At 50.6% G+C, this 16231-nt stretch overlaps 1 protein-coding gene across 3 annotated transcripts in view, besides 3 other annotated features; it reads left to right on the top strand.

Moving 5' to 3' along the window:
- Positions 1-14773, top strand: part of PAX7 (paired box 7) — a 118021-nt gene extending 103248 nt beyond the window's left edge. For 2 of the 3 annotated variants that reach the window (NM_002584.3, NM_013945.3), the window contains exon 8: positions 1539-2045. In NM_002584.3, coding sequence (NP_002575.1) covers positions 1539-1946 — 408 coding nt within the window. In that variant the 3' untranslated portion in view covers positions 1947-2045. Of the gene's footprint in view, positions 1-1538; positions 2046-10720 lie in introns of those variants that run through there. The other variant, NM_001135254.2, reaches the window with a different exon arrangement.
- Positions 3744-4251: an enhancer, noted in NCBI's record as "H3K4me1 hESC enhancer chr1:19064331-19064838 (GRCh37/hg19 assembly coordinates)". NCBI's record gives its function as "activates a minimal SCP1, AML or CMV promoter by ChIP-STARR-seq in primed H9 embryonic stem cells {active_cell/tissue: H9 hESC(primed)}" and the evidence as "EXISTENCE:reporter gene assay evidence [ECO:0000049][PMID:30033119]".
- Positions 4252-4758: an enhancer, noted in NCBI's record as "H3K4me1 hESC enhancer chr1:19064839-19065345 (GRCh37/hg19 assembly coordinates)". NCBI's record gives its function as "activates a minimal SCP1, AML or CMV promoter by ChIP-STARR-seq in primed H9 embryonic stem cells {active_cell/tissue: H9 hESC(primed)}" and the evidence as "EXISTENCE:reporter gene assay evidence [ECO:0000049][PMID:30033119]".
- Positions 5614-6115: an enhancer, noted in NCBI's record as "H3K4me1 hESC enhancer chr1:19066201-19066702 (GRCh37/hg19 assembly coordinates)". NCBI's record gives its function as "activates a minimal SCP1, AML or CMV promoter by ChIP-STARR-seq in naive H9 embryonic stem cells {active_cell/tissue: H9 hESC(naive)}" and the evidence as "EXISTENCE:reporter gene assay evidence [ECO:0000049][PMID:30033119]".

The following is a 16231-nucleotide window of genomic DNA, read 5'->3' on the forward strand; positions in this document are numbered from 1 at the left end:
CTGTGGCACAAGCCAATAATAAAGGCAAAGGTAAAAATCTTCAGAAGGTGTCTAGTCGGCAAAACGATCACTGCTCGAATGCCCGCAGCCTGCTTTCTTACCCTGTAAGGGGAGTCAGGGAACTCAACTGTGTGCCCAGCAGGGATTGCCACGTGGTTCTCCGTCTCGGTGCTGGGCAGATTATCAGCAAAGCCGTCCCCACCTCATACTCAGGGTCTTCCTCCCATAAAGGGCGGCATCACCAGGAGGTCATCAGGGGCCTGGGCCCTGCAGGTTAGGTTCACGAGGGCCTGCCTCTCCCTCCTACCCTCTCCCCTGCCCTCCTCTGAACTCACTGGGACACTGTGCCCTCTCTCTCCTGCCCTCTCCCCTGCTCTGCTCTGAACTGACTGGGACACTGTGCCCTCCCACTCTCCAGGAGCTCCTGCTGCACCACTCCCAGTCCCACCCCAGGAAAGCACTGCTTCTCCCCGTCCTCTTTCCTGGAGAGCTAGACAGCAGGTTCCACCTCCCCTAGATTTCCCAGACTGCCAAGGATGACTGGGTGCCCTCCTCTGTGTCCTTTGATAGATAAGATGCCTGTATCACTACTCCATGTCTCTATGATCTTTGCTAGTAGCTTCCCTCACCCGACCCAGACCCTTCCTCCTCCTCTCCCCCGACCGAGGGCAGGGACCATGGCTCTTTCTCCTCTGAAGTCTCAGAGCCTTCAGCTCTCAGCCTGGGGCCAGAGTCACCATCCATGCCTGTTTGTGGAGTAAACAAGTGAACATCCCAGTAAGTGAACACCTGGACCTCCATCCAGGTCCCCTAAGCTGAGCTTCTAGAGACAAGCCTCCCCTGGTAGTCTGTGTTGCCAGCACTGACAGTGAGTTCCTATTTGCGGAACCTGGCCAGGCAGGGAAGGAGGGGATGCTCACAGACCTCAGGAGCTGGTAGAATCAAAGGAAGGGGCCTGAGAGGCTCTTTGAAAGCATTGGCTGTGGGCTTCAGTGTCGAAGGGGCAGGAACCTCAGAGTCCGGAGGAGTGGCAGGCAGAGCAAGCCACACACAGTGACAGCAGACAGATCAAGAGTCCTGCTGTAATGTTTGTGTTAGAAGATGGGGCCATCCCAGTCTGATGGGGGAGGCACAGTTCTCTGAGCTTGGAGAACTCCCTGACTGATGGGAGAGGCCTCATTAGCCAGTTCGTTCATTCATGCATTCATTCATGCATTTATTCATTCAATAGACAGGCCCAGAGTGACCCTTAGGGCCAGACCCTGGAGCTAGAGAGGCGAGTAAGGCCCTGCTGAGTTCTCAGTGGAAGGAGGATCCCTGGGTCAGGACCCTCCTTCAAGAGAAACACCGAAGACCAGCAGCCATCCCATGCATGAGGGCACGCAAATCAGGTAAACTGAGGACCTCGAAGCTACAGAGACTTCAAGGGAACAACTCTGGCAAAGAGTGTTCCAGGGCCAGCCTGGCATTGTGCCCAGTGTGCTCGTGTCTCTGGGGTCTGTCCGGTGAGCCTGGCACTAATGGCCTTTTCCCCACAGGTGATGAGCATCTTGGGCAACCCCAGTGCGGTGCCCCCGCAGCCACAGGCTGACTTCTCCATCTCCCCGCTGCATGGCGGCCTGGACTCGGCCACCTCCATCTCAGCCAGCTGCAGCCAGCGGGCCGACTCCATCAAGCCAGGAGACAGCCTGCCCACCTCCCAGGCCTACTGCCCACCCACCTACAGCACCACCGGCTACAGCGTGGACCCCGTGGCCGGCTATCAGTACGGCCAGTACGGCCAGAGTGAGTGCCTGGTGCCCTGGGCGTCCCCCGTCCCCATTCCTTCTCCCACCCCCAGGGCCTCCTGCTTGTTTATGGAGAGCTACAAGGTGGTGTCAGGGTGGGGAATGTCCATTTCACAGATGGAAAAATTGAAGTCCAGCCAGATGGAACAGTTCACCTAAAATGACACTGAGTTGGGCAAAACCCAGGACATCTCCTGGCTAAGCCTCTGCTTCCGTACTATGGCTCCAACAGAAATAAAATACACAACACAAATATCACTTAACATTTCTAGTGGCCACATTTTAAAACATAAGAAGAAACAGGCCAGGCGTGGTGGCTCATGCCTGTAATCCCAGCACTTTGGAAGGCTGAGGCAAACGAATCACTTGAGCCCAGGAGTTCAAGACCAGCCTGGTCAACATGGTGAAACTCTGTCTCTACTAAAAATACAAAAATTAGCCAGGCATGGTGGCGCACACCTGTAATCCCAGCTACTCAAGTAGGTGAGGCACAAGAATCACTTGAACCCGGGAAGCGGAGGTTGCAGTGAGCCGAGATCACGCCACTGTACTCCAGCCTGTGTGACAGAGCAAGACTCTGTCTCAAAAAAAAAAAAAAAAAATCAAGGAGAAGAAACAATGGAATTATTTTTACTAACATTTTATTTAACCCAGTACATCCAAAAGATTATCATTTCAAAATGCAATTCATATATAATTATTGAGATATTTTACATTCTCTTCTTTATGCTATGTCTTTGACATCATGTGTGTGTTTTACACTTACAGCCCATTTTAATTCGGACACTGAGTTTTCAACAGAAATACTTGATCTGTATTTAAATTTCATATAGTTTGCAACTGAGAAAATATACTTACAAACCCAAAGTGTTCCAAATTGTAAGTTTTCCAACTACTAAATAACCCAATTGAAGATTGGTTTTTGACTTTAAATTAGTTCAAGTGAAATCGGCATTTGAAATTCTGTTTCCCAGTCGCACTAGCCACATTTCAAGTGCTCAGCAGCCATGTGCTGCTGGTGGCCACTGTGCTGGACAGCTCAGTGGGAGACCCTGCCCCTTCTGCCGCAGGGCATGGGAAAGCTGTGTTTCCAACTCTCTCCTCCACTCCAAACTCTGCAATGGTCTCATGCACCCATCCCAGCTGCTATCCCCTTTGTGCCTTGCCTTGAGGCAGGGACCGTGGATCCTCACACCAAAGGCTGGAAAACGCAGGCCTGGACACAGCCTCCACCGCCTGGCAAGGCCAGCAGCAGGGCAGGTCCAGATGGGACAGGGAGCCAGAGGTCATGGGTCACTTTCCTGCCCCACCGCCCTGCAAAGGCCTCACCTGCTGGTGTCAAACTAATCAGAAGGGCGTGTGGCAAGAGGGTGAGGCCCCCATCCCTGAGGGTGTCCTCTCCCCCAGCCCAGCCCTGGGCCAGCCTTTCTGACCTCTGCTTCCTGCCCACCCCCCCAAACCCACTCCTCTTCACGTGTCGTTGGCCTCCACTGCCAAATGAGGGCCACTGCCAAATGAGGGCCAGCTATGTCGGCCTCCACCTCCCAGCTGTGTTCACAACCCTTCCTGTGCATGTACATGTTTGCATATGTGTATGTACACATGTGTGTATGGGTGTTTGTGAGTACGTATGTTGGGACATGTTACAATTCTTGTGTGTGTGTGCATGTGATGCTTCTATTTCAGCACCCATGTGTTATTGCATGCATCTTTGCATATGCGCGAATACATGTATGTGTCAGTGGGCACATGTGAGCATATGTGTATATGACTTCACATGCGTGCACATAAATGAGCATATTGTGCATACATGATGTGCACATCTGTGTGTGTGAACACACATGTGCACACATATATGTAAGTATATGTATCTGCTTAAACATGTTTAAATGTGCATTCAAGTCTGTACATATGGTTGAGCGTGTCTTTATGTGTGCCTCCATGTTTGGCATAGGTATGCATATGTCAATATGTAGATAGGTATAATGAATATGTATGCGTGTGTATAGATGTATATGAGTGTGCAAACATGTGACTGTATGTACATGTGTATAGCCATGCATTGAGGCATGCACACATGCTTGAGTGTGTCTGTGATTGTGTGTTTGGAAGTACCTGTGTGTGGACACATATTCTGTGTGCAGTGTGTAAATAGGGGTGAGTGTATGAGTGTATGTTTGAGTATGTCATAGGTGTGGCTGTGTGTACATGTGTATGGATGTACATCTGGGTGTAGACATACACTGTGTCTGTGTGTATAACTGTGTGTGTGTGTGTGTGAATGTGTACGTGGGGGTCTGCATGTATATTTGAGAGCAGGGTGCACGCATGTGCATGGGAGAATTTCCAGAGGGTCCCAGGGTGACCTCCTGACCCAGCCCGTGTTCCTGGGCATGCAGCAGGACACACATGCTCTTGATAAATATTTTAGAGTGACCCCAGCGGCAGCGGCAGCCCCGGCCTGGGGCAGGCGTTAGTCACACCCAAGCTCGGTGCCCTGCTCCAGGGGCGCCTGCTCAATTCGGAAATAAAATTAACCCCAAAGTCAGCATGGGGGCAGCAGGGGAGGGGATCAAAAGGGAAGGGGCCTAGGAGGCGAGAAAGGAGGGTTTGTTCTCCTCTTGCTTGGACAAAGCCAGCCAGAGCAGCTTCCTCCTCCCCCACCACCCCCTACTCCATTCTTCTCTTTTCCATCCTCTCTTTCCACTCCCTTCTCCTCCTGTCACTCCCCTTCCAGCTCCACCCCTGCTGCCCTGGCTTCTCCAGGAATAGCTCAGAGCTCCTCTTGGCCACATTCTCCAGCCCTCCCCAAAGGGAGCCCAGCACAGACCCCAACTCACCCCACAGAGACTCTGGGCCCAAGCTGGGAGGGAAGGGCTGGAGGAAAAGCCCCCTCCTCTGCCCCCAATTAGTGCAGGCAGCCACACACTTGCCTCTCTGAGCCTCAGTCTTCCCATCTGTGAAATGGAGGCCACGAATTAGACTTAGCCGTCTCAAAGTGTTTCCATTGCACCACCTCCCTCTCCTTTGGCATTTTGGAGGCCCTGAGACACATCATGTTCCCGCTAACCACTTGCCCCACATCCCTGGGCAACTTAATCCATCTGTGGCTGGGATGCCCCAGTGTGTGTGCAAGAGTCCCATGTCCTGGACTGTGCCCGCCTATGCCCAGGTCCATCTGTCCTCCCTTAACACCTGCCCTCTGCCCAAGTTCATCCCACAGGGCACTGGGCAAAATGCATGCTCCTCATTCATGTCATTCTCTAAGTTATTTGTCCCCAGGTTGCAGGTGCAAAAACGAGGCTCAGAGAGGCGAGGTAGCTTTTCCAAAATCCCACAGCATGGCAATGGTGGACCCAAAGTCTTCTAACTTCAAACCACAGATTTGTGGAGGCCACTGAGCAGCGATACACACCTGAGCCCACCCATGCGTGGATTCATGTCCACAGCTTCACATGCATGTGCATATGGATAGACACACACGCAGAGAGAGGGGTTTATATGTGAGTGTTCACTAATGTGTGTACACAGCTTTAAGATATAAATATACAAAATGTGCATGTGTAAAGGAAGGAGGAACGACCATTTATTGAGCATCTACTATGGGTCTAGCATTTCATCCTTATGCCACCCTATGCAGTACACGTGGTTATTCCCATTGGACAGATGAGGAAATGGGATCCCAGAGAGGCTGTTTATGCAAGGTCACCCGGCAGCCCATACTGATGTGTACACAGCCACACCTGCAGCCTGGTTCCTGGAGAGCCACCTTCAGGTGTGCATGGAACAAGCCTACACATGGGCCAAACTCTTAGGCCCCAGAGTACTCCTCCTCTTCTCCGTGGGCTTCTCATCTTGCCAGGGACACCTTCACTCCTTTTCCTGCTCTGGCCATTGTCCATCCACCTGTCCGTCTTTCCTCGTCTCTAGGGGAGTGGGGGCAGGGGCCCAGGGATGGGGCACATGGCAGATTAATACGGCCCTGGTGTTCCCAGAGGCCAGGGCTGTACTAATAATGGGGCTGATAGAACGCTGAAGTGTGAAAAGAATTTTAATAGATCTGACAAGTCTAATAAGAATTTGTGTCTAGAAGGGTCCTCCTCTGGGGCTGCGGGCTGACGAGGCGCTGACGGCTGAGATTGTTTACCGGTTGGCATCACCACCACATCTCCTGCCAACTCCCAATTAATCTAATTTGAGACATTTAGAGCCCAGCCACGGGCGCGAGGCAGAAGAGGGGAGATGCGGAGAGACAGAGGGACAGGGAGGGCCGTTGACGGAGGCCATAATAAGAGATGTCACAACCCTGCCCTCGCCGGCCCCTCGGCTCCACCCCTGGGAGAGGCAGGCTGTGCAGCCTGTTGGGTGCCCTTGAAGTTGGCAGGGTCATCAGGAAAGTTTGGCTTCCTGGTGTTTCCTTGGCTACCTAGACAGGGCCTGGCAAGCTCCTACTGTGTGCTGGGCCCATGGGCTGGTCGCTGGGAGAGGCTGACAAGGATAAGGCACGCAGAGTGGCCAGAGGCACAAGCAGGACCAATGCAGACTCCTCCTCCATGTCACGCACTGCATGTGACTCTGGGCCAGCGACCTCTCCGTACCTCAGTTTCCTCATTTATAGAAGGAGAACGCTGATACCTAAAGCATGGGGCAGTTGAAAGAAATAGATGTGGTCATGCCTGCCAGCACACAGTAGGTGGTCCATACATGAGGGTGCTCGCCTTGTTGTTCTGATTATTATTCAAAGCCAGTGAAAACTAGAACTACCATATTTATCAAAAGGATAGGAATCAGTGTATCAAAGGGATGCCTGCACTCCCATGTTTATTGCAAAACCATTCACAATAGCCAAGACGTAGAATCAACCTAAGTATCCATCAACAGATGAATGGATAAAGAACATATAGTGTATCTACCCAGTGGAATACTATTCAGCCATAAAAAAGAATAAAATCCTGTCATCTGCAGCAACATGGATGGAACTGCAGGTCATTTTGTTAAGTAACATAAGCCAGGCACAGAGAGACAAACATCACATGTTCTCATATATGGGAGCTAAGAAGGTTGATCTCATGGAGGTAGAGAGTCAAATGATGGTTACTAGAGGCAGGGAAGCAGGGAGGGAGATGAAGAGAGGTTGGTTAATGGGTGCAAACATACAGTTAGATAGAAGGAATAAGCTCTAGTGTTTGATAACAGAATAGGGTGACTACAGCTAACAACAATGTATTGTATATTTCAAAATAGCTAGAAGAGAGGATTTGAAACACATAGAAATGATAAATACTGGGCCAGGCATGGTGGCTCACACCTGTCATCCCAGCACTTTGGGAGGCCAAAGTGGGCAGATCACCTGAGGTCGGGAGTTTGAGACCAGCCTGGCCAACATGGTGAAACCCCATCTCTACTAAAAAATACAAAAATTAGCCAGGTGTATTGGTGGGCACCTGTAATCCCAGCTACTTGGGAGACTGAGGCAGGAGAATTGCTTGAACTCGGGAGGCGGAGGCTGCAATGAGCCAAGATTGCACTGTTGCACTACAGCCTGGGAGACAGAGTGAGACTCCGTCTCAAAAAGAAAAAAAAAAAGAAAGAAAGAAAGAAAAGATAAGATAAATCCTGAAGGTGATGGATGCCCTAAACAGCCTTACTTGATCATTACACATTCTATGCACGTAGCAAAACATCAGAGGTACCCCCAAAAATATGTGCAAATATTATGTATCAATTGTTTAAAAAGACAGAGCTCTCAGCCCATCCACAGGAATAGCTGAAGAGGTTGGTGTGAGAGGCTGGCATGGTGTGAAGTAAGGAGGGGAGGCAGCGGCTGCTGTGACTCCGGGAAAGTGTCACCTGCTTTAGCGGTGTGCCCTTGGACAGATCGCTTACATTGCCTGGAGCAGAACATGGGATCAATGCAGAATTTGGGGTGCAGAGCACCTCGTGCCCTCTAGTGTTTTGCATGTACAAAGGGTTATTCTCTAGGAGCCTGCAGGGGTGGCTGGGATCCAGGCTCAGACTGCCTGGGTTTGAATCCTGGCTCCACAATTTATGAACTGTGTGATCTTTGAAGTGGTGCAGTCTCTCAGAGCCTCAGTTCCATCATCTGTAAGATGCGGATACCACCACTACCAGCCTCATAGAGTTGTTGTAAGAATTAAATGGAAAATGAGCACAAAATGCTTAGAACAGGACTAGGATAGAACAAGCTCTCTGTAAACCCTGGCTTCTCCTCTTTCTATTCCGACTGTCCCTCTAAGAATGAGGCTTCTTTTTTTTTTTTTTTTTTTTTTTTTTTGAGACGGAGTCTTGCTCTGTTGCCCAGGCTGGAGTGCAGTGGTGCGATCTTGGCTCACTGCAAGCTCCGCCTCCCAGGTTCATGACATTCTCCTGCCTCAGCATCCCGAGTAGCTGGGACTACTGGCATGCGCCACCACGTCCGGCTAATTTTTGTATTTTTAGTAGAGACAGGGTTTCACGGTGTTAGCCAGGATGGTCTCAATCTCCTGACCTCGTGATCCACCCACCTTGGCCTCCCAAAGTGCTGGGATTACAGGCATGAGCCACCGTGCTCGGGCAGAATGAGGCTTCTTAATGGGATGGACACTGGAGCCCGGGTAAGGCAGGCTTCCAGTAGCAGAGTTGGTGTGGCCAGGGCTACAGAGTCCCCCCAAGGCCAGAGATGGGAATGGCCCTACCCTCACACAGAGTAAGGGGCAGACCCAAGGCAGGGCCAGGCTGACTGCCACCAACTCTGCTCTACCAACTGGGAGCCTGGAGGCCAAGTGACTTCAGAGGAAGGCTGGCAGTCCCTGGGGGCTCAGCTCAGACCCTAGGCAGACTTAACTTTCCTCTCATCACCCACCCTGGAGCCTGGTAAGCAGAGGGGCACAGGGTTCAGACACTCCAGAGAGATTCCAGGGCATTTGCACATCCCTTGGGACTGTCGAGGGCCAAGCCCCTTCATGCTCTGTAACCACCATCTTAAAGAACAGTGTCTCACTTCATCCTGATAGCAGCAGCCCTGGAGGAGGCTGGACTTTATTTCCCCCATTCTGCAGACAAGGAAGCAGGTCTAGAGAGGTCAAGTGATGTGCCCAGGGCCACATGAGCAGGAGGTAACTGGGACTGCAGCCACCTCATCTGCTGCTTCATCCCCTCCTGCCCCCATCAAAGGCCATGTTTACTTACTAAATCCCAATCCTAGTCTTCTGCTGCTTCCAAACCAACATCTCTCAAGCTCACATTGTGCCAGGCATAGTACTAGCTAGCCACTTTGTACGTATTTCTTCTTTAACCTTCATAACAGCTCCTCAGATAGCTGCTGTTACGATCCCCATTTTACAGACAAGGAAACTGAGGTTTGAATAGATGAGGTGGGATGCCCCAGAGCACACGTTAAAAGTTGGCATGTGCAGGATTTGAACCTCCGTCATTTGAACCACTAGGCAATACAGCCTCCCGTGGCTCAACGATTGGCACTGTCCACTTGGCCTCCCTGGCCTCATCCTCAGGCCGTGCGTATCACCTTTTGGCTCCACCCACCTGCCCTGGGCAGGAACCTCCAACCTTGGGGAAGCATGTAGAGTGCTACAGCGTCCCCTGTGGTCAGGTGACAGAACAAGTGTTGAACCAGGCCTTGCAATTCTTAACACAGTGTTCTTTCCATCTTCCTCTTGCTTCTGGATCCTACAAATCCCAGGGGTTTGGACTGGCCACAGCCACAGATCCCAGCTTGGGAGGCAGCATCTCTGTGCTTCTGGAGGCCTTGGCCACACCCCAGCCAAATCATTTGGTCAGGGCTGATTTCTTTTGTAGCCTCAGAAAGGCAGAATTAGTACAGTCAAGACAGAACACTTGTACATGCAGGTCAAGGGTCATCCCTGCACATACACAAATATAGAGGCAGGTACCTGGCTGAGTTGGAACTCACCTGTACACAGTGCCTGCACATGCACTGGCATTCCCAAGGTTCATCTATTCACAAAGGTGCACACAACTCACACACATATGTGCATGTGTGTGTGCAAATGTTGCTCTTCTGTGGACATTCATGTGCAGTCTAATTCAAGGAGATTCTTGTTTCAGTTGTTCACACACACAAGTATGCACCACTCTCAGGCACACACACCCTCAGACACTCATCTGTCTCCTCTGGGGGACCAGATGGACAGAGCTGTAGGTCTCAGCTCCCTGCGTATCTGTGTCCTGGCTCCTTCTGCATGGATCCCTCAGCTCACCCACAGCCACTTTGGCCTCGCAGCAAAGGTCTTGCTTTGCCTTATCTGTAAGCTGGGCACAGATAGAGAAGGCAGAGAGACCTTGCCCTCATCATTACCTGCACTCAGGGATTCACAGGGCCTTCTCCATAGCAGGTATATGTAGTGGGCTTGTTGAGGGGTGGTTAATTCTTTGCTCAGCAATGTGGGTAATCTTCTGTGCCTCCCTAGGAACTTACCAGGGAGCTGGGCACAAAATGCATTAAACATATTTGCTGAATGATTGGAGAGGAGGTGAGAGAAAGAGCTTCATGAAGAGATGGATAGATGGAAGGATGGATGGATGGATGGATGGATGGATGGATGGATGGATGGATGGATGGATAAATGGATGGATGGATGGACAGAGAATGGATAAATGAATGAATGGATGGATAGATGGACAGAATGGATGGGTGGATGGAGGCATGGATGCATGGATATGGCTGGATGGATGAGAAGATGAGTGGATAGAAGGATGGAAGGATGATGGATGGATGAAAGAATGGATGAGTAGACAGGACGGATGGATGGATGGATGGATGGATGGATAAATGGATGGATGGATGGATGGATGGATGGATGGATGGATGGATGGATGGATGGGTGTAGATAGAGTGAATGGAAGAATAAACAAAAAGAACCTCAATTTCTAGGAGAGTCTCTTCTTTTTTCCAGCTGCTGTTGATTATCTGGCCAAAAATGTGAGCCTCTCCACCCAGCGTCGCATGAAGCTCGGGGAGCACTCTGCTGTGCTGGGACTCCTGCCTGTGGAAACTGGCCAGGCCTACTAGGGCCCCTGGGGCGACTTGCCCCAGCCCAATTCCCAGCCCAACCCTAACTGACCCCTGAGCTTCCCAGCCTTGCCGCCTCACCCCCCTGTTGTCCTAGGAGGCCAGGAAAGGAGCCCACCTGCTTCTCATCACCAGCCCCCTGGAGGTAGACAGCCAGCTTGTCACTCACCTGTGGTTAGGGATCCAGAGTGATGCCCTTGGAGTCTGCTCCCCACTTTCCCCAAGGAGGGTTTCTGGTCAGCCTGAGGTCCTCCCCTGTCAAATCCCATGGTGGCCTCTGTGCCATCTCAGGCATGGAGATTGGGGCCCACCTTGAACACCTTGGGTGTCCAGAGGAGGATGGTGCCTGAGAGGAGGTCCTACAGCCCTTTGGACCCAACTCCAGTGGGGGCCCTAGCTAGAAGTGGAGGTGAAGCTTTCAGGGCTGCTCTCAGCTGGATGTACTGGGAGCCAGCCCTGCAAGGAGGGTCTCTGGCTCAGTGTCAGAACCACAGCCCTTTCCTCCTCTAGACATTGGGACTCCAGCAAAGAGGGGACCCTGGCCCTGGGGTCTTCCCAGGGGAGTCAGCAGGGGGGCAGTCTCACCCCCACCCAGGAATTTGAAGGACTTCAGAACCCTCCCCAGACACCTCTACTGGGTGCATGGGGAAATCTAGCACAGGCAGGGAGACTGGGGAGACCAGGAAGAGGCTTAACCAGAGGGTAGGGGCACATGGGGGTGGGGCTTGTCAGCCGTGGGCCCGCCCAGGATACAAGGACCCAACTCAGGCTTCTGGAAGCAGAGGGCTCTTATCCTGAAGCCCAAGTTCCCAGCATGTCCACTCCATCTGGGGCCTGGGGAGCCCACAGAACTTTTCAGTTTCCTTCATTAGCTGAATCAGATGAGATGGGGAGGGGATAAAGTCTTGAGGATACATGAGTGGAGGAGCAGGAAGTGGGCTCAGAAGGCACTTTCATAACCAGATCCCTCTGTTTGTGGGAGGGCAAGCCTTTGTTGCCCAAGGCTTCAGCTCTCTGCCTGCAAGTCCACACCCCAGGGAGTTGAGATTTTGCCCAAAGCCTTCCGCAGAGGCCCGAGCCCATCCTTACCATGCCCCATCCTCTAGGAAGAGGTCTCCATCTTCCCCAAACCCCTTTCAGTTTGTGGGGATGCAGAGAGCTACCCTCAGAGCTTTGGAGGAGGGTTGTAGACTGGGCAGGGATGGTTTGCCCCACAGACAAGATGATCCCCCCTGGCATGTTGTTAGGGGCAAATTGCTGTCCTGCTCAGAGTGGCATCTTTCAATGTTGCCTCCATCTTGGCCAAGAGGTCCCTGCCTCCTGATCCGGCACAGCTGAGCTGAGGCAGATGTGACCAGTTTTCAAGCTACCAGCCCTGGGCAGAGGAAGATGTCAACAATTCCAGAGCAGAGGGAAGAGGCACCTTCCTTGACCACACCAGTGGCCTCCTGAAGTTCCATGCTTTTAAGAGCTGGGACCTTGGGAGGATGATTCAAACCCTCAATTCCTCCTCCCTGGGAACTTTTTACCACCTTTACCTATTTATCAAAATCATATTCATCTTTACCATCACTGTCACTGTAATCTACATTCCATCACCTTTATCAGGTGCTGCTGAGTACAAAGCACTTGGGATGGGAGACACAGCACTGAATTCACAAACATTGGACCAAACTGTTTGTCCCCATCTGGGTTCATGAGGCCACCTCTTTGCTCAATCCATGCCTCTTGCCCTCAGTCAACAAGACATTCCTAGAGGGAAAGGGCTGCTGCTCTGGGAGTCAACCTGAGTTCCTCCCTCCTGGGAAGCTGGGTTGGCAAGATTCTAGGACACTCACCTGCATGGACATCACCTCTGTGACAAATGCTTACCTGTTTCTCATCTTCAGACTTGGCGATATCAAGCCTGTTCTGGACCATGACCAGGCTGGCTCATATCTCTGGTTTAGAGAAACCTATGAATAACTGGGGACAAACAGACTCTTTGGTAGCAGCAGACACATGTGATCCATCAAGATCAACCAAGGTTGCAACTGGAGCGTCCACTGCCAGAGACCTTTGGCTCTTCAAGCTCGGGACAAAAAAGAAGACTCTGTTGTCCCTTGGTAACCCAGTCCCTGCTTTTGTAGCTATCACAGCAGAAAGCAACTCTTCCTGAAGACCAAACACTCGTCATCCACATTCCTTGAATGGCCAATCCTTCCATCTGGAGGCCTGGCTCAGAAAGTATCTGAGTATCCTGACACCCTCTGTGACTCAGGAGCAGGGATCTCAGGCAGCTGATATCAAAACCACCCAGCCCCATCCCCAGGAGGCGACATTCCAATGCTAGGACCAATCCCAGATATCTGGTCCCGATGGTGAAATGGAACAAAGACCTGCTTGGGAATAAACCAAATGATTTCTCATGACGTTGAACATAAGTTCTCCCAAGCCATCATCTTGGTAGAAAATGGGACTTATTCCTTGACAGGCCCCACCCCCTTCAGAAAGAGGCCCTTGACCCTGATAGGTTCTCTCTAAAACCCGTATATTAACGCATCTGGCCAACTTGGGTTATAAAATTCAGCCTTGTGTTGGCAACTCGAAACATCACCAGAGAGGTGATGTTGAATGAGAGACACAAGGCCTCCATCTCTTTGGGGCTGACCACAGCCTGAGAAAGAAGGTCTGGGTTCCAGTGGCCAGGCCGTCCCAGAAACAACCCCCATCCATCCCTGTAAATAGAGTCTGTAGCAAAATAAGAGCTGCTTCCTCCAACTTATCACAAGTCGCCGTTGGTCCTCTCTAAGGAGGGCTCTCTTCTGAGTTCATTGTACAATAGTTGGAAACGTGGTGATGTGCTGTTCGTTTATAGAAAGCTGACTTTTTATAAATATATATATATACTAAAAAAGGAAAGAAATCCCCCACAGTGTGTGTCGTGCTAGTGCCAGAGACCATCTGTAGGGATATATCTTCATATTGTGTGTTTCAAATTATGCATTCCAGGCTCTAGTGGGTTCTTTCAATCTTGTTCCTTTATTTTTTTCATTTGGTATTTCTCTCTTGCTATATAAAGAAAAAAAGAAGTGATGTGTAAGAACCAAGCTATGCTTTTATACTTCCATTTTATACTTGATTTAGCTTTGTTGTTCTTTTGCCAGAGGAACATCAAAGGGCAGAGCAAACAGAGAACTAGGGGGATAAGAGAGAAGAAAAGAAGAATGGAGAGAGAGGTTTGCCCAGAAGGAAAACGAAGAGCCAGATTGAAATCTGACTCTGGCTTGAGAACAGGACGGGTCCCAGAGTTTGACCACTGCCAGAATCCAGTGTTTCAAGATGGAGTTGGTGAAGCATCCAAGATTTTGGATCCTGGGCCTCAGTGACACTCCATCACCCAACTAAAAAGATGTTCTCTGGGACCTCTCTCAGGCTGATGTTCTTCTCATCAAGCTCCCGAATGTGTCTCGCACTATTGGACACTTTTTGGGGGTACACAGGTCTTCTCTCCTCCCCTCCTGCAGAGGCACCAAAACCAAGACCAAATGGGGGTTCTCTAGCCGCCAACTTGAAACGCTCTGAGACTTCTGTGTATTTGATGCTTCTTCAAGTCAGCTCTGACGTGGCCAATTCCCTGACCTGGGAAATATTTACATAGTACTCTAGATCATTCCTTCTTCCTAGTAACTGCAACTTTGTTGCTTCTGTGTTTGACTCACAGCCACTTTCCCCCATGCGGAAGTGAGTGGGTGTACGTGAGGGTGTGAGTGGGGTGTGTGCGTGGGCGTGTGGGCGTGAGGTGTGTGTTTAAATATAATCACACCATAATTTATTCAGCTATATGGAGTAGTAGACTAGAAAGAGAAACTGGTATTTGCTTTAACTACCTGCTGCTTGTAAGCGCTTCCTCTGTAACTCAGGCGTAACTGTTATACATTAAAAGAAATTAAAAGCATTTTGAAGGTTTCGTGTACTCAATTGATTGTCATTATGCAGCTGCTCCAAAAGGGACTCTGAGGGGTGTCCAAGAAGCCTTTGGACCTAATTTAGAGGATCAGCGTAGAAACTGTGTTTCTCTTGCTCCCCACTGGGTCCTCTAGTGCCAAGCAGCTGCGAGGTTTCTAGTGAATGCCTAATCAATATTTGTTCAATGGATGTTGTTACTTTAAGCCTCGCTCTGAGCTCATAGAAACAGCACAGTGTCAAAGAATAAGGTGAAACTTTAGTTCTCTTCACCAGAGCAAACTTTTCCTGCTGCTAATCTTAGAACCCTCAGTGGCTGTCTCCCATTACATAGGATTTGGGAGGTAGAAGAGAGCTCAGAAACTTACATATTGCTTGGAAGCATATGGGGATTCTCGGGCAAATTTCTGGCTTTGTTCTTTTTAGAGATGGGGTCTTGCTATGTTGCCCAGGCTGGAGTGCAAGGCTATTCACAGGTGTGATCATAGCACACCGAAGCCTTGAACTCCTGGGCTCAAGTGATCTTCCCGTCAGCATCCTGAGTCATTGGGACTACCAGTATGCCTGGCTCTTTTTCTCTTTTTGAATTATTGATGGAGAGATCTCCAGAGAAAGCTGTAAGGGAATGAAGGAAGCAAGATAGGACAAGTAAAGAAGGTGAGCAAAGAGGTGGTTTTACCTGGAGTCCAGCTTGAACCTGATGCTACAAGGAGCTCTGGAGTGTGGATTGTAGTACCAGAGTAGTCCCACCTTGAGGCTGGGGGCTGGCTTTTGGTACTGTGTCAGTCAGTCATTGACTGCTGGCTGTCCCATTGATGTGGGTGGGTGGGTGATATGTAAGTGATATGTAAACTATCTGCCCAAGCATCTCTAAAGTGGCTTTTGTGGGCTGCAGGCACTCCTGCAGAGAAAGCACAGCTATGAGCCCTTAGCAACAACAAGCACATCAGTTAGGGGACAGGTGCACTGGCCCAGGAAAAGGGACCTGGGCAGGGACCAGCAATGTCCACTCCACATATGTTCCCCTGGCCCTAAAACCTGGGTATCCAAGTCATTCCAGGGCTCTGGTTTCCTTGGATTGTCTTCTGAACCAGGAATGCAGTGGGGTGAGAGAGTTGTTGGTTGAAATTGTACATGAAGAATTGATAAGGTGCTCCTGTCGACCTGTGTCCAGTTAATCCAGCCAAATTCCCCAGGGCAAGATCTGGAGGGAAACCCTTGGATCTTCCTAGGGTCTGAAACCAATCAGAAGTTGCCCCAGTATCTTCCTCTTCACAGAGTCCCTGGAGTGTGATAAGCTCTGTGCCAGTCCCCTATGGAATCCAGAAAGCGTATATCAGAGCTAGTGCTCCCAGCCATGTCCTGTCTCACATCTGTCCCCCACCTACCCATCTGCAACCAATCTATCCTTCAGGTAAGTCAGGAAGATGTGGGGGAGAGTCAGCTCTGC

This window comes from Homo sapiens, chromosome 1, assembly GCF_000001405.40.
Source record: "Homo sapiens chromosome 1, GRCh38.p14 Primary Assembly".
Lineage (NCBI taxonomy): Eukaryota > Metazoa > Chordata > Mammalia > Primates > Hominidae > Homo > Homo sapiens.